The sequence below is a fragment of the Homo sapiens genome, chromosome 1, assembly GCF_000001405.40.
Source record: "Homo sapiens chromosome 1, GRCh38.p14 Primary Assembly".
NCBI lineage: Eukaryota > Metazoa > Chordata > Mammalia > Primates > Hominidae > Homo > Homo sapiens.
This window is the reverse complement of record NC_000001.11, coordinates 8,032,496-8,050,694: the sequence shown is the minus strand read 5'-3', so window position 1 is coordinate 8,050,694 and position 18,199 is coordinate 8,032,496. Positions and strand designations below refer to the sequence as shown.

Genomic DNA, 18,199 nt, shown 5'->3' with positions numbered 1-18,199 from the left:
GGTGGCTCACGCCTATAACCCCAGCAATTTGGGAGGCCGAGGTGGGAGGACCACCTGAGGTCAGGAGTTCAAGACCCGCCCAGCCAACATGGCGAAACCCCATCTCTACTAAAAATACAAAAATTAGCTGTGCATGGTGGGGGCATGCCTGTAATCCCAGCTGCCTGGGAGGCTGAGGCAGTAGAATCGCTTGAACCCAGGAGGCAGAGGTTGCAGTGAGTCGAAATCGTGCCACTGCACTCCAGCTTGGCTGACTGAGCAAGATTCCATCTCAAAAAAAAAGAAAAAAAAAAAGAGAAATCTCTAATACAGATACCTATTAGACATCCAAGACCTGGAGTCCAGGGAGTGGGGCTAAAGATGTAAATGTGGAGATAAGTTACATATAACACTATGAACAAATACACTAGACCTCACTATACAGCAAAACCCAGTCATCTGCTGTCTACAGGAGTTATGAAAACACAAACAGATGCCAACCTTTGAAGTAAGATGATGGTCTTCAGGCTAAGGTATCGTGCAAACTGAGGAGGAGCAGAACTGATCGCTGTGGTATGAGATTAAATCAAAGCCCATAGCAAGGAGCATCAGCAGATAAAATTGCCAAATAATGGTAAAATATTAAATCATACAAATGTAACACTCAATTCATGATCCAATTCATATAATAAAAATCTCTGAAATAGTGGAAATGGAATAAATAGACATATATCATGGTAATGGATGACCTCAATACTTATCAAAGTGATAGAATTAAATATCAAAGAATTTGACAAAGAAAGTAGCTAGCCAGGATGATACAATAAGTACAACAGAATTGGCAGGCATACATCAGAGAAATGCAAATCAAAACCACAATGAGATACCATCTCACACCAGTTAGAATGGCGATCATTAAAAAGTCAGGAAACTAGGTGCCGGAGAGGATGTGGAGAAATAGGAACACTTTTACACTGTTGGTGGGACTGTAAACTAGTTCAACCACTGTGGAAGACAGTGTGGCGATACCTCAAGGATCTAGAACTGGAAATACCATTTGACCCAGCCATCCCATTACTGGGTATATACTCAAAGGATTATAAATCATGCTGCTATAAAGATACATGCACACGTATGTTTATTGTGGCACTATTCACAATAGCAAAGACTTGGAACCAACCCAAATGTCCATCAATGATAGACTCAATTAAGAAAATGTGGCACATATACACCATGGAATACTATGCAGCCATAAAAAAGGATGAGTTCATGTCCTTTGTAGGGACATGGATGAAGCTGGAAAACATCATTCTGAGCAAACTATCACAAGGACAGAAAACCAAACGCCGCATGTTCCCACTCATAGGTGGGAACTGAACAATGAGAACACTTGGACACAGGGTGGGGAACATCACACACCGGGGCCTGTCATGGGGTGGGGGAAGGGGGGAGGGATAGCATTAGGAGATATACCTAATGTAAATGACGAGTTAATGGGTGCAGCACACCAACATGGCACACGTATACATAGGTAACAAACCTGCACATTGTGCACATGTACCCTAGAACTTAAAGTATAATAAAAACAAACAAACAAAAAAAATCAAACAAACAAAAAAGAATTGGCAGGCATAGCTTGAGAAAAGTAAAGAATAGGACAATAGATTTCAAGTGTACATGCCCCTCTAATAAAAAGTTAACAAATTCTAGAACAGAATCTGATCATATGTGTTGAGCAAGACTACAGTGAAAACAAAACATGAACAAAAATTACCTTGAAGCAGTTAAAACTTACAAACTATTAAACAATATCTAGGCTGGGATAAAATTCAGACCAGTGAATTCACAGTGGAAAAGATAACTATAATACCTCCATTTAGATACTGCTGTATTTTTTTAATTTTTAATTTTTGTGGGTACATAGTAGGTATATATATTTATGGGGTACATGAAAAATTTTGGTACAGGCCTACAGTGTGTAATAATCACATCAGGGTAAATGAGGTATTCATCACCTCAAGCGTTTATCCTTTGTGTTACAAACAATCCAATTATACTCTTTTAGTTATTATTTTTTCTTTTTTGCAGGGAGGGGTTGAGAAGTCTGAAGGTAATGGCATGGGAGGGGGTCTTTAGTTATTTTAAACTGTAGAATTAAATTATTATTGACTGTAGTCACCCTGTTGTGCTATCAAGTACTAGATCTTATTTATCCTTTCTAATTATTTTTGTGCCCATAGATAATGCTGCCTTAAACTTAAAATTATGTCCATTAGGTTCTTGGGTGTGAGAAAAGTACGACTGGGAAATCCGTCATCCCACTGGTAGTGGAGGCTGAGTCTCTGGATTGGTCAGGCTAAGTGTATCCTTGCCAAAGCTCAGGCCCCTTCCTGGTGGAGCAGGGCTTGGCTATTCCATAGCAGCTGTTGCTCTCCTTACGGGAACTTTACATAAGTTCTTTTTTTCTTTTCTTTCTTTTCTTTTTTCCCAAAGTCCCTTTGAGAAATCTCATTGCATCTAAAATTCAGGTCCAAATTTTTATTTCAGCAGCCTCATCAAATTAAAAACTGTGTAAAATCCATTTTTAACAAACGATGGTCCTCGGACTCAAATGAGTTTAAGTGGGTGTTTGGCAGTGTCAGGGATTTCCTGTCTCCTCTGTCTGATGAAATCTCTAGTTATAATATTGTTATGTCACCAAGATTCATTGCTTGCCAAACCTCATCTTAGACATTTATGTGGGTTTTCCCAAATACCCTTCAGCAACTTAAATCCTAGATGTTATTGCCAGCTACCAGGGAAATTAAATAGGGGATACAGGAAATATAAAGTGACTAACAGTTAGCAATTGCACAACTCTTTCTCATGGGCATTTTCCATGGCTGGGAAACAAACTTGAGGGGACAGTGGAACACAGAAAATATTCACAGACATCCTGAAGTTCAGCGTCTACAGACATATGGAGAAATTTCTGGTTCTGTTCCTGGAAGGGCTGAATGTTTTAGTCGTAACTTCTGTGCCTGGGGCTTGTTCAGTTGTATCTAAGTAGTCATGATTAAACACAATTGGAATTGTGTTTTACCAAAGGTCGATGTTTAAAAGTTTTGCAGGTATACAATCACCTTTCTCTCATTAAAAATAATGAATTCATAATCATTTGAAATTAAGAACTATCAAAAGAAACAATTTACACCTTCCTAGTCAAGCGTAACATTCCACAGACATTTGAGATTGTCTGATACCTTCATGAAAAACAGAAAACCTAGGTCATAAATGCTAATTTGTTGTCTACATACAGAATGGAAATAATGTTAAGAGATTACCAAGGGTGGACGTTACTCAGCAATGTGACAAAACTGCTGGAGATGAGAAAGCCTGGGAAGGTTGTGTAATTCTTAGGGAAGTAAAGGACATGAACAATGTCAGCTGTCTGGGACCATATGCTCAAGTACATGAAAACAAAACCACTGAAGGTCAGAAAACCTAACATGAAAACAGAATGCGAACCTGTTGGAAATGGACTGAAACAATCCATTCCACAAAATGGAAAACAGAATATTTTGTCCAGGAGCCCTTACTTCTGGAATCTCCTCTATTTTTATAATAGGAATCAACACCCTTACTGAAAACTTCAATTTTATAATAGGCTTATTTAGTCTTAGATTTTTCTGTGGGTTGAATTTAATCATTAATTTCAATATTAGTATATGAATGTACTCAACACAGGGAAGTCTTAAAAGTTGACAAGATCGATCTCTTTCTCTCTCTCTCTGTGTATGTATCTGCAAAAATGACAAAACTTTTTTTTGTTTGTTTTTTGTTTTTTGTTTCTTGTTTGAGACAGTCTCTGTGTCACCCAGGCTGCAGTGCAATGGCGCGATCTCGGCTCACTGCAACCTTCATCTCCTGGGTTCAAGCAATTCTTTTGCTCAGCCTCCCGAGTAGCTGGGACTACGTGAGTGCGCCACCATACTGCTAATTTTTGTATTTTTAGTAGAAACGGGGTTTCACCATGTTGGCCAGGATAGTCTCAACTCCTGGCCTCAAGTGATCCGCCCACCTCGGCCGCCCAAAGTGCTGGCATTACAGGCATGCGCCACCACGCCCGGCCTAAAACTTTTAAAAAGAGAACTTGTTATTTGTGCAAAATATGCTTATCTAAAATCTGTGACTTATATCCTAGAATAACAAAGCATTTACCTATTTGCCAGAAATTTCGCTAGACAAGAAAACAGTTTGCTCTGTCATCTATTTTTGTAAAGGTTTTTCCTCATTTTAAACTATTTATATTAAGGCATGTAATCGCAAAATAAGTAGCATCTGCTTCTTCTGTCCCCATTCATCCTGCAACTAACCAAAACAAGGGGAAAAACTCAGAATCTATGAAGTCCTGCTTCTGTGAAATGTTCTTTGTAGCCAATAACTCCATCTCAAAACCTAACAAACCATTGAACTCCATATTAGTCCACCCTCCAGAATACACATTAGAGCCAGATGGAAAATCACTGGCTAAATTAAAACACACTAATTGGGCATCAGATTTCTTCTGAAAATGACAAGGTATCGTGTGGGTGTCGGATGTATGACTAAGAGGAAATTCATTCTTTCTGTACAAATAAATCATTCAGATTCACTTTACTAAACTTTCTTTTTTTTTTTTTTTTTGAGACAGAGTTTCGCTCTTATTGCCCAGGCTGGAGTGCAATGGCGCGATCTCAGCTCACCGCAACCTCCGCCTCCCGGGTTCTAGCGATTCTCCTGCCTCAGCCTCCCAAGTAGCTGGGATTATAGGCATGTGCCACTACTCCCAGCTAATTTTCTGTTTTTAGTAGAGACGGAGTTTCTCCATCTTGGTCAGGCTGGTCTTGAACTCCCGACCTCAGGTGATCCGCCTGCCTCGGCCTCCCAAAGTGCTGAGATTACAGGCGTGAGCCACTGCGCCTGGCCTCATTTTACTAAACTTTTTTATTGGCTGCTGGAAAAGATTAAATAGGTTGCGGAAAATTTAACCGTTCAAACATTCAAAAGGCTTATTCAGTGAATGGAAACAAGAATCAGTGTCATCGGACAGCTAAATCATTTCTAGAGAAGATGTGTTCCTTTGCAAAACAATTCTAGAAAATCAAGGACTATATCTGACATATGGATACATATAGATGTTCTCACCTCCGCATGCATACATGCAAAAATTTTTGCAGTCAGAATAATATGCCAAAACTTTTAAAGAACAGATTTTTTTTTTTTTCCTGAGATGGAGTCCCGCTCTGTCGCCCAGGCTGGAGTACAGTGGCGCGATCTCAGCTCACTGCAAGCTCCGCCTCCCGGATTCACGCCATTCTCCTGCCTCAGCCTCCCGAGTAGCTGGGACTACAGGCGCCCGCCACCACACCTGGCTAATTTTTTGTATTTTTAGTAGAGACGGGGTTTCATAGTGTTAGCCAGGATGGTCTTGATCTCCTGACCTCATGATCCGCCTGCCTCAGCCTGCATTAAAGAACAGATCTTAAGACTCTGTTCTAGGCTGGGTGCAGTGGCTCACGCCTGTAATCCCAGCACTTTGGGAGGCTGAGGCAGGTGGATCACCTGAGGTCAGGAGTTTACGACCAGCCTGACTAATATGGTGAAACCCTGCCTCTACTAAATACAAAAAAAAAATAGCCAGGTGTGGTGGCGCATGCCTGCGATCTGAGCTACTTGGACGGCTGAGACAGGAGAATCGCTTGTACCTGGGAGGCAGAGGTTGCAGTGAGCTGAGATCGCGCCATTGCACTCCAGCTTGGGCAACAGAAAGATAAAAAAGGAAAAGACTCTGTTCTAACATTAATTTCTAGTTCACAGCATCACCAAAAACACACTGCATACTTGTATCGTTTTTTAGAGATGGGTGTCTCATTATGTTGCCCTGGCAGGAGTGCAGTGGCTATTCACAGCCTCCATCATGGTGTGCTACAGCCTTGGATTCCCGAGCTCAAGCAATCTTCCCACATCAACCTCACAAGTAGCTGGGACTACAGGTGTACACCACCACGTCCGGCTCTCACACTATACCAAATTAAACTTATGCTTAAAGAAGTCCCATCAATATATGTATTTGGGTTCATGAATTGCAATGAATATGACAGTTTTCTGTTGTAGATTTCATGGTGATTCAATGACTCAACCCTTCAAATTTTGTTCAGAATAGTTGACCTGAACATCACTGATTATGTTTATGTAGGCCTTAGAAGGCTACGTATTTCTCAGCAAGGTGATCAAGGTCAACATCAATGGTGATAAATCATGTTACTGCATTTATCCATGATACGATGTCATGAAAATGGAATTTTACCTTTGTGGTCTTCCTCTCAAAAACTGGTAACTCCGGCCGGGCATAGTGGCTCATGCCTGTAATCCCAGCACTTTGGGAGGCCGAGGTGGGTGGATCACGAGGTCAAGTGATCGAGACCATCCTGGTCAACATGGTGAAACCCTGTCTCTACTAAAAATACAAAAATTAGCTGGGCATGGTGGCACACACCTGTAATCCCAGCTACTCAGGAGGCTGAGGCAGGAGAATCGCTTGAACCCAGGAGGCGGAGTTTGCAGTAAGCCAAGATCCTGCCACTGCACTCCTGCCTGGTGATATCCATAGAAACCCTCCTGGTATGGAATACTTCAACACTGCAAGCAAAATATTTTTTAAATCTTTATAAAGGTATGACTGAACTGACAAAATAGTAAGTGAAATCCTCAGAGGCATGACAGAGAGAGAAAGCATGACACCAACTGGGCAAGAAAATGATGAAGTTGGCATCTTCCCTGAGGGCATCTGCCAATTCCCGATGGCCTAGAGCAGGAGTCAGCAAACTGTGGGCCACATCCAGCTTGTCACACATTGTTGTAAATAAAGTTTTATTGGAACACAACCACTCCTATTAATTTATGTATTGTCTATGGCTGCTTTCATATTACAACCACAGAGATGAGTAGTTGTGAGAGAAACCATATGGCCCACAAAGCCTACAACGTTTACATCTGGCCCCTGACAGAAAAAGTTTGCTGATGCTTAGCCTTGAGTTTTAGTAGGTTGAGTTTGTGGGATTTGGGAGACAAAGCCTGGGACCTAATCGAGTGGGATGCCAAAAGAAAGGCTGCATAAAGTTGGGACCCTAGAAAATGTTTGCCCTGAAGAAGGGGATAGAGGGAATACTTGCTTACTCATGTCTTGGCTGTGATAGAAAGAAAAAAGTTTCCCTGAGAATTCTTCACCAAAAGTTCATCCTTACACAGTAATGAGATATCTGGGCCAGGCGCAGTGGTTCACACCTATAATTCCAGCACTTTGGGAGGCCAAGGCAGGTGGATCACCTAAGGTCAGGAGTTTGAGACCAGCCTGGCCAACACGGTGAAACCCCGTCTCTATTAAAAGTACAAAAAATTGCCCAGGCATGGTGGTGAGCACCTGTAATTCCAGCTACTCAGGAGGCTGAGGCAGGAAAATCGCTTGAACCCAGGAGGCGGAGGTTGCAGTGAGCCAAGATCACGCCACTGCACTCAAGCCTGGGCAACAACAGCAAAACTCGAACTCAAAAAACAGAGAGAGAGAGAGAGAGAGAGAGAGAGAGAGAGAGAGAGAGAGATACCTGTGTGCTGGCCCAAAAAACACTTCTAGCCAAAAATTTAGTTTATTGAAGTGATCTGGCTAAAAGTGGCTCTAGGTGTCTAGCATAAACCAACTCCAATCCTTGACTTCTCACAAATAAAGTCCCAAAGAATATAAGCTTTGAATCAAAAAGCACAAAACGCATGAGGAAACACTGCTGAGAATGACGTTTACTGAAAGTAAAACTAAGCAGAATAAACAAACTGCCTAAGTAAACCCACAAAGACCTCAGATGTTGGAATTATTAGATAACAAATATAAAATATAAGGTTTACTATAAAGGCTACACATGGACATACAGAGGGGAATAATAGACACTGGAGACTCCAAAGATAAGAAGACGAGAGGGGTGGGTGAGGGATAAAAAATTACCTAATGATAATTTTCACTATTTACCTATTGGTACAATATTTTACTCTTCAGGTGATGGGTACACTAAAAGCCCAGACATCACTGTTACACAATATATCCATGTAAGAAAGCTGCTCTTGTACCCCTTAATCTATAAAAATAAAAAATTTTGTTTACAGTAATTAAAGAAATAAAGTATCAGAGAAGGAAAAAATTATCAAAAATAATCAAGATGTATTTGATTATTTTTGATATGTGATTATTTTTAGGTGCATTTGAAAAAAATACATCTAAAAATGACAAATATAATAACTCACATTATAAAGCCAATTGATGTTAAGTAGCAGATATAGCTGAAGAGAGCAATAGCAAACTGGAAAATAGATTTGAAGAAACTATACAAAATGTAGCACAAAAAGAGAAAGAAATAGAAAATACAAAAGAGTTAAAAGACACCAAGGACAGAGTAAAAAGATCTAATACTTATCTAATCAAAGTTATAGCAGGAGAAAAAAGAAAGGGAAAGAAACAACGAAACTCCGTCTCTACTAAAAATATAAAAATTAGCTGGGCGTGGTGGTGGTGCACACTTGTAGTCCCAGCTTCTAGGGAGGCTGAGGCAGGAGAATCACTTGAACCCAGGAGGCAGAGGTTGCAGTGAGCCAAGATCTCGCCACTGCACTCCAGCCTGGTGACAGAGCAAGACTCCATCTCAAAAAAAAACAAAACAAACAAAAAAAAAAAACAGAAGTTTAAATTCTGGACAAAAACATGAAAATTGGGAGGTGGAAGAACATGAAAATTAGGAGGCAGTGATGTGAATTAACATGTTCTTAAGTGTTTCTTGTATTTTTCAGGAGAGTAAAGATACTAGCTTTAGACTTTGCTATGTTAAGCATTTCACAATTTCTAGGTAACCACCAAAAAAGAGAAATAGAGGGTATAACTTCCAAATTGGGAGCATGAGATGAGAAAAAAATGCAACGAGTAAAGAAAAGATGCAAGAAATGAGAAAGAAAAACCCTTAAAATCAAGACAAATAGACAGTTCAAAATAGCATGGTATAAATGATTGAAATTATCAGTAAAATATATCAGTAATCATAATAATTATAAGTGAACTACACTCACCAATGGAAGACAAAGATTTTTTTAATCCAGCTCTGCGCTGTTTATAAAACAGACCAAAAACTTAAGGACACCCAAAGAGTAAAAAGAAAATTTTAGAAAAAAATACACCAAAGTACTAACCAAAAGAAAGCCATTGTGACTCCAGAAATATCAAACAGGCCAGGCGTGGTCTCTCACGCCTATAATCCCATCACTTTGGGAGGCTGAGGCAAGCAGATCACTCAAGACCAGGAGTTTGAGACCAGCCTGGCCAACATGGCAAAACTCTGTCTCTACTAAAAATACAAAAAATTAGCTGGGCATGGTGGCACACACCTGTAATCCCAGATACTCAGATGGCTGAGACACAAGAATCGCTTAAACCCAGGAGGTATAGGTTACAGTGAGCTAAGATCATGCCACTGCAGTCCAGCCTAAGCCACAGAGTGAGACTTTGTCCCAAAACAAAACAAGACAAAACAAAAAAAGAAAGAAAGAAAGTAAAGAAAAGAAGTATCAAACAAAATAGACTTTAATGCAAAAATTATTACTAGAGATAGAGGCTTACTACAAATTAACAAAATGTTGGATTTATCAGACAGATTTAACAATTCTAAACATGTATGCTCTGAATAATATAGCCTCAAAATATCAAAGTAGAAACATCAACAAAACTACTAGGAAAATGGAGTGAGGAAGGATAAACTAACAACAGAGAGAACAAAAGGAAGTTTCCATGATGAGCTACCCAGATCCCCAATGAGTTATGAAAAGCCTTATTCCTCAAGCTCCTGGGAATGCTGCCAGAACATGGCCCTTAGCTGTCAACCCTGTTTGGAGAGTGACTCAGCTGAAGAAAACTGCCTTTTCCAAGCTTACTCTTCCTTCCAAAGGCAAGCCATATCAATGACTGACCAATAAGAGTTAGAGGAAAAAAGGTCCAGCTCTCTTGCCCAAGTTAGGACAACTCCAAAGGGTCAATCCTGTTCCAGAGCTTTGCATGTAGTTAGCTAAGGCCTATGTCGTACATGGATCACAACTTAACTTCTCCCTCTGCCCAATTCTTTTTCCTCACCCTTCCTTCAACACTCTAATAAATGTCCTCCATGTTCATCTCCATCTCAAAGACTGCTTGCCAAGAAGCCAGTCTGCAACAAATATCCAGGAGAGATGCACTGGTAAGAAATTAAAAATATGGGATTAAAGGCCAGGAGAAAAAAAAAAAAGGGACTACAGGCCAGGAGAGAAAATGGGACTACAATTAGATTTTGGTGTAATTTACATAGACATCATAATAAAAGCTCAGGAATAGAATGAGATGACTAAACTAAGGAATAAGTAAAGAAAGCCTCGAAGACGCCAACATCTAAGCATACAAGGAAGAGAAGAATAAATGACCGAGCAGGACTGAGGAGAGGTATCAAAAGGTGTGACGTGTAGTGTTACCGAGGTCAAAGAACAGAAAACTTTAAGAAATTTGTAAGTGAACAGAGTCAAATGCTGTACATAAGAAAATGGCTGTTGTGGACACTTGATGTATGCTGACAATATCCATTTCCTTTTTTTCCTAGTCCATTCTTCAGTCTTACTCTGGGAAGCTATCACCTCCTCTACTCTTAGTCCTCCTCTACTCTTGGTCCTCCTCTGCACTTGAGCCTCAGATGGATTTGATTCTCCCCCCATGGTTCCAAATGAGGTCCCACATTCAGGCTTGGCCAATTGGAACATTGCACTCCCCTGGCCTTCAGTTTCGATTTGTGAGAATCAGGCCCAGGGTTTTTGTTCAAACTATTAAATAAGTTGTTTTTAAAATTTTTAATTAGATGATCCCAGGGTTTGCTGGCAGCCATCATGCCACCAAGGAACCTCAAAATGAAGTCAACACAAACATGGATAAAGCCAAAAGTTAGAGAAAGTCTTGCCCTGCATGATGTCATCTGAACATGTGAACAAAGCAATGTGTGCAGCGACATCCTAGTCTTCTCCAGTACTGATCCACTGAATTCCTTTTTTTATTTATCCAATTTGAGTTGGGTTTCCTGTCACTAAAAAAAAGTCCTAACTGATAACATGAGGATAGATATTCCATACTCAATTTTGTATTCTACTTTTTAAAAAAACTTTTATTTTAGGTTCGGGGTACATGTGCAGGTTTGTGTTATAGGTAAACTTATGTCACAGAAATTTGTTGTACAGATTGTTTTGTCAGCCAGGTACTGTGTTTGACTTTTTTCACTGAACATGATCATGAAAGAATTTGTGGTGGTTAAAAGGAAACTAACTGCCTAGGTTGGAATCTAGTTCCTAGCTGTGTGACTTTGAGCACATGACCTAACCTCACCTTGTAAACTGGGTACAACGATAGGATGTACCTCGTAGGGTTGTTGTGAAAGTTAAGTTAATATATGTCAAGCCTTAGAACAGTATCTAGTTCTTAGTAAATGCCACAAAAGTGTTAGCTATTATTAGGCATTATTCTCAATTACAAAATGTTCATAATCATATTACTCCTAATTATAAAATTCTCATTAGCATATGAATAGTCTGTATTTTACTTGGCCAGTTGTCCTACTACCAGGCCAGTTTTTCACTCTTATGAATAACACCATATTGAACCTCTTTGGGTATAAAGCTTTCTGTATTGTGATTACTTCCTCAGTTTTTTGCTGTTTTTGAGATGGAGTCTCACTCTGTCGCCCAGGCTGAGTGCAGCAGCGGGATCTCTGCTCACTGCAACCTACACCTCCCAGGTTCAAGCGATTCTTGTGCCTCGGCCTCCTGAGTAGGGATTACAGGCACAAGCCATCATGTCCAGCTAATTTTTGTATTTTTAGTAGATATGGGGTTTCACCATGTTGGCCAGGTTGGTTTTGAACTCCTGACCTCAAGTGATTCACCTGCCTCAGCCTCCCAAAGTGCTGGGATTACAGGCGTGAGCCACTGTGCCTGGCCTATTTCCTTAGAGTGCTGGTAAAAATACTGGTTCAAAGAGTTTATTTGATTCTCGAAAAATTTTAAGGAGGTAGAATCTACAGCCTTGGTCTGATGAGGCTTCTTTTCCATTTTTATATCAATTAGGCTGTTTGTATCCACCTGAATTTTCCATCCTATAGTTTAAGCTTATGGCCAAGACAGTCAACAGTGGTGCTGTGTGCTATAAGAGATACAAAAGAAATCATAATCTTCACTAGGATCATATACTCTAATGAGACAGGACAAATGCATATAAAGAATTAAAGAAAACTTCAAATAGAAGCAAAGTTCAAATGACTAGAAATTTTTCTGGATTTTACTTTGAAAAAGTAGAAACCATTAGAAATATATGTAGTAAGATACTCAGTAAATGTTTGTTGAATGAATGTAATGGTTACCATGGATGTCCTGGGGTACCTTCTGATGCCTCAGGATGGTGTGCACTAATAGGAAGTCGATTTTATTATATTTCTAAGTCAGTGAAAACTAAGATTTTGTTACATTTTTTTCCCAGTTTTTATGAATCACAGCTCCCTAAGGTTAATGACTTAATTACACTTATTTTACAAGAGAAAACAACACAGGAATGGTCATGTGTCTTAATTACACACACACGCCTGTTCTAGGAAAAAAAAAAAATCTGGCTGGGCGCGGTGGCTCAAGCCTGTAATCCCAGCACTTTGGGAGGCTGAAGCAGGTGGATCACTTGAAGTCAGGAATTGGAGACCAGCCTGGCCAACATGGTGAAACCCTGTCTCTACTGAAAATACAAACATTAGCCAATTGTGGCAGCGGGCGCTTGTAGTCCCAGCTACTCGGGAGGCTGAGGCATGAGAATCACTTGAACCCAGGCAGCAGAGGTTGCAGTCAGCTGAAATTGCCGCTGCACTCCAGCCTGGGCGACAGAGCAAGGCTCTATCTCAAAAAAAAAAAAAAAAAAAAAAAAAAAAAAAAAAAAAAAAAAAAAAAAAAATCTGACACCTTTAAGATATCAGGCATTTACAGTCATTATTTTTAAAAGTATAATTTGGAAAGAAGATTACTTTAATCCCACAGTCTTAGATGGACTGAGGAAGAGGTCAGAAACAACTCAAAAGAAATTATGGTTCCAGATGCATTGGCAAATTTAATTCAAGGATCAATCAATATTCATCTGACCTTCATAAATGATTTGAAATTTATATCCTTTCTTATAAAAGGAGTATTAAACCCAAAGTCCTGAGTTCTAGTGGTGTCTCCATTAGATATCTGTTGCTTTTGCAATGTTGTTGACTCCAAGAGACAGATCATGGATAGGAACCTGTATTTCCCAAAATAAGACTGCCAGCCAGCCACTGTTTCTGTTAACCTCAGTGGCTGAAGACCAAAGAGCTGAGCCTCTGAGTGAGCTGCCCTTCATCCCTAGAATCCAGGTTACTAACCACAGGGATCTCTGCACAAGCTTTCTTGAGTAGTATGAAACCAGGTTGCCCATCTCTACCCACATTTTCCACAGGACTGCTGAAATGAAGCATTTTGGAAAACTTACTGTGCTTCATATCTCTCTTGCCATTAGGTCTTCAGCTAAGTTATAAGCCCCCCTGTTTATCAGGGGGTACCATCTCCCATACTCCAATGCCCAGCTCCCTCCATCTCCTACTCAGTAAACTACTGCACCATCGTTCACCCAGTTATTTAAGCCAGAAAGCTGGAATCATCATTTATTTTATTTTTCCTTCATTTCTCATGTGCAAGTTACCATTAAGTCCTGTCCATTCTAGATCCAAAATTTATTTATTTTATTTTAATTTTTTGAGACAGGTTCTCACTCCACCACCTAGGTTGAAGTGTAGTGGCATGATCTCCACTCACTGCAGCCTCGACCTTCTAGGCTCAAGTGATCTTCCCACCTCAGCCTCCCAAGTAGCTGGGAGCTGGGACTACAGGCGGGCGCCACCACGCCCAGCTAATTTTTGTATTTTTAGTAGAGACGGGGTTTCACCATGTTGGCCAGGCTGATCTTGAACTCCTGACCTCAAGTGATCCTCCTGCCTCAGCCTCTGAAAGTGCTGGAATTACAGGCGTGAGCCACTGCGCCCGGCCTAAATCCAAAATGTAAACCTAGGATCAGTGTTCGTGGAACCTTTTTGCTCTGCTCCATTCCAAGTACCACAACTCTCCCTCAAGCCATCAGTTCTCACTTAGACACAGGCAATAGCTTCCTACGTGATTTCAGACTGACCTCCTCCAAGTTTCTCCAACACACCAAGTTCTCTCCTATTTTCTGGCCTTTATTCCTGCTGTTTCTGTACCCAAAGTGTACTTTCCCCAGGCTTTCACCTGGACAGCTCCTTCTCACACTTCAGGTCTCGACATGTCATCTCCCCCAAGGTTGCCTTCCCTGTCCACTCAGTCTAAAAACTCATCTCCCGCCACCACCCCATTGCCCTCTGTTTCAGGACTTTCTGAGAGCACACTACTTTTAGAATGACTTACTGTATTAGTTACGGTACTCTAGAGGGACAGAACTCATGGAATATATATATACATATATATATACATATATATATATATATATGGGAGTTTATTAAGTATTAACTCACATCATCACAAGGTCCCACAACAGGCCATCTGCAGGCTGAGGAGCAAGCAGAGCCAGTCCAAGTTCCAAAACTGAAGAACTTGGAGTCCGATGTTCGAGGGCAGGAAGCATCCAGCACGGGAGAAAGACTAAGGCTGGGAGGCTAGGCCAGTCTCTCTTTTCACATGTTTCTGCCTGTTTATATTCTTGCCTTGCTGGCAGCTGATTTGATTGTGCTCACCCAGATTAACGGTGGGTCTGCCTTTCCCAGCCCACTGACTCAAATGTGAATCTCCTTTGGCAACACCCTCACAGACACACCCAGGATCCATACTCTGTATCCTTCAATCCAATCAAGTTGATGCTATTAACCATCACACTTACATATCTGCTAATTATGTATCATATTTCTTCCCCATTAGACTGTAAGTTTCACAGAGGCAAGGGTTAGACCCATTTTGTTCACCAATGCACACTCAGTGAGTGGTAGGACAGTGCCTGGCATGCAGGTGCAGTTTGTCAGTACTGGTTGAATAAATGAGTGAGTGCTTTGAGATTCCTCTTACGAAAGACTTTTGTCTTAGGTAAGACAAGTTTTTCTACTGGGCACACAGGACTTACCATGTGCCATGAATGCAACAAATTCCTACATTCACCACCTCTTCACTGAACGCTTCCCCCACCTGCTTGCTCCTGACTCATACTTTGTTCTATGGGGACCCAGCTTCCCCAGTGGTCTCTCCAGCTGAAGCGGTGCCTTCTCCCTTTCAGATGCTGGAAGGCAAACTCGCTCCAGGACCTCACTAAAATCAACACAGCAGAAGAGGACCCACTAGCTTCTTAAAGAAAACAGTTTAGTGTGACAGTCGTAGGAATGGAGAATTAACAGAAGTACAGAAAATGAACTACATACATTAATTTTACAACCTAATTCAGCCGAGCATGGTGGCTCACACCTGTAATCCCAGCACTTTGGGAGGTCAAGGCGGAAGTATCCCTTGAGCCCAAGAATTCGAGACCAGCCTGGGAGACATGGCAAGATGCCATCTCTACAAAAAAAAAAAAAAAAAAAAGTTTTTTTAAACAGTAGTGGGACATGGTGGCACACCACGTAGGCCACACCTGTGGCCCCAACTACTCTGGAGGCTGAGGCGGGAGGATCGCTAGAGCCCAGGATCAAGGCTGCAGGGAGTGTTTGCACTGCTGCACTCCAGCCTGGGCACAGAGTGAGACTCTGGCTCAAAAAATAAAAATAATAAAAATTAAACCTAATTCACAGCTTTATGGTTCTGTGACATGGCTAAAAATCATTTTCCTACTCAATAATTTTTTTAAAAAAGCAAAATGCAAATATGAATAGTTCAGTAAAACTCAACTAACACTGATACTTTATTTTTTATTTTATTTTTTGAGACAGAGTCTTATTCTGTCACCCAGGCTGGAATGTAATGGAGCGATCTCAGCTCATTGCATCCTCAACCTCCTGGGCTCAAGCAATCCTCCCACCTCAGCCTCCTGAGCAGCTGGGACTACAGGCACGCACCACCATGCCCAGCTCATTTTTGTATTCTTTGTAGACAGAGGGTTTCAACATGTTGCCCAGGCTGGTCTTGAACTCCTGGGCTCAAACAACCCTCCTGCCCTGGCCTCCCACAATGTTGGGATTACAGGCTTGAGCCACAGCGCCCGGCCTTGACACTGATACTTTAATAATTTTACCCAGTTTGTGTTCCTCTACTGGCCTGGTAAATTTGTTTCTTTAATGATTATACCCAAATTTGCATACCTTGGTACACAAATGTTTTACTCTCCTTAAATTGTTCGATAGTTTAACTGTGTTGTTTTGTTCTTTCTAACTTCAATTATGTAAAAGCTTGTTTTAAAATTAAAAAGCAGCTTTTTGTACCTAACATTCTCTGAAAGGCAATGCCTCTCCAAAAATCTGTGCATATTTCTCTCTACATCCCCTTCCTTTTATCCTGTCTGTTTCATAATTCCTGCCAGGGGGCCAGGTGTGGTGGTTCACACCTGTAATCCCAGTACTTTGGGAGACCGAGGTGGGCAGATCACTTGAGGTCAGGAGTTCAAGACCACTCCGGCCAACATGGTGAAACCCCATCTTTACTAAAAATACAAAAATTGGTTGGGCACGGTCGCGGGTGCCTGTAATTCCAGCTACTCAGGAAGCTAAGGCAGAAGAATTGCTTGAACCCAGGAGATGGAGGTTGCAGTGAGCCAAGATGGTCCTACTGCACTCCAACCTGGGCAACAGAGGAAGACTCCATCTACAATAAATAAATAAATAAATTTTTAAAATAAAGTAAAATAAACATAATTACTGCCAAAGACTGGTGCAAATGTCTGTGTCCCCGAGTTAGGAGAATTGATGCCCTAGCCGGAAATGATAACTCAGAACTAAGAAGATGGCCCAGCACTCCCCAGACCCAAGTTCTAAACTTTCTGGTCATACAATGCCTCTGGCAACAAAAGAATCTCTCCAAAATGCAAATGTCAACTTTCGCTGTCCACCGGAACCTTGTTAATGACTACTCTACTTTTAGCAGGAAGTCCAAACTTCTTAACACTTCCGCAGTCAAGTAAAATCTGGCCTCTAGTTAACCTCTCCAGCCTCATTCCTTACCTTCATTTACAGTGAATTTGGCTTCCTCGGACATGTCACATTCTGAACATTTGCTCTTTACCCTCCTAAGAACATCCTTCTTCCTTTGTTGTCCCCCTGTCCACTCTGAATCACCTTTCAATTCTCGCGGTTGGTGTCTATCCTACGTACCCCCATAGCACCCCACAGGCTCCTATCACAGCATGACATCACAGCTTCCTGTGTTCTTACCTATAGCTCCCACTGCACTGCAAGCTCACTAAAGACAGTGATGGAAACTCCTGCATGCTGCTGGATACTAGCATAGGACTGTCACATAGGAGGAGCCATATATATATATGTAATTTTTTTTTAGATGGAGTTTTGCTCTTGTTGCCCAGGTTAGAGTGCAGTGGCGCGATCTCAGCTCACTGCAACCTCCGCCTCCCGGGTTCAAGTGATTCTCCTGCCTCAGTCTCCCGAGTAGCTGGGATTACAGGCGCCCACCACCATTCCCAGCTAACTTTGTATTTTTAGCAGAGATGGGGTTTCGCCATGTTGGTCAGGCTGGTCTTGAACTCCTTACCTCAGGTGATCCACCTGCCTCGGCCTCCCAAAGTCCTGGGATTACAGGCGTGAGCCACCCTGCCCAGCCTCAATAGACATTTATTGATGGATAAATGAATACATGTATGAATGAGCAGTTAGAAATCCCAAGAAGTGTTGGCATTCATTCAGCTTTTACAACATTACTGCATCAAGTCATTGAGTATATCTGTTGTCCTTATACATTCCAGAGAAAATTGTAAAGCTGTTCCTATCAAAAGGTTCTGCAAGGACTTTATGTTAAATAGATTTATGTATAGGCTAAATGTGTTTTTTAAAGGAAACATGTCTATGGATGTTTATGACTATGGGCTTAGAAGTAACTGCTCACAGACTTACGGTTACTTGTGAGCTTGCCTTCAGGAATGCTAAGAAGATTC

The 18,199-nt window shown here is 41.2% G+C and overlaps 1 long non-coding RNA gene across 1 annotated transcript in view, besides 2 other annotated features; it reads right to left on the bottom strand.

The window, feature by feature from the left end:
* ERRFI1-DT (ERRFI1 divergent transcript) overlaps nucleotides 1-18,199 on the bottom strand; it is a 100,578-nt gene that overhangs the window by 76,376 nt on the left and 6,003 nt on the right. The window lies entirely within an intron of this gene.
* Nucleotides 3,709-4,908: an enhancer, noted in NCBI's record as "MED14-independent group 3 enhancer chr1:8105847-8107046 (GRCh37/hg19 assembly coordinates)". NCBI's record gives its function as "activates an origin of replication core promoter dependent on BRD2, BRD4, P300/CBP and CDK7 cofactors, and independent of MED14, by STARR-seq in HCT116 cells {active_cell/tissue: HCT116}" and the evidence as "EXISTENCE:reporter gene assay evidence [ECO:0000049][PMID:35650434]".
* Nucleotides 9,792-10,086: a silencer, noted in NCBI's record as "tiled region #2737; HepG2 Repressive DNase matched - State 5:Enh". NCBI's record gives its function as "represses a minimal TATA promoter and a strong SV40 promoter by Sharpr-MPRA in HepG2 cells {active_cell/tissue: HepG2}" and the evidence as "EXISTENCE:reporter gene assay evidence [ECO:0000049][PMID:27701403]".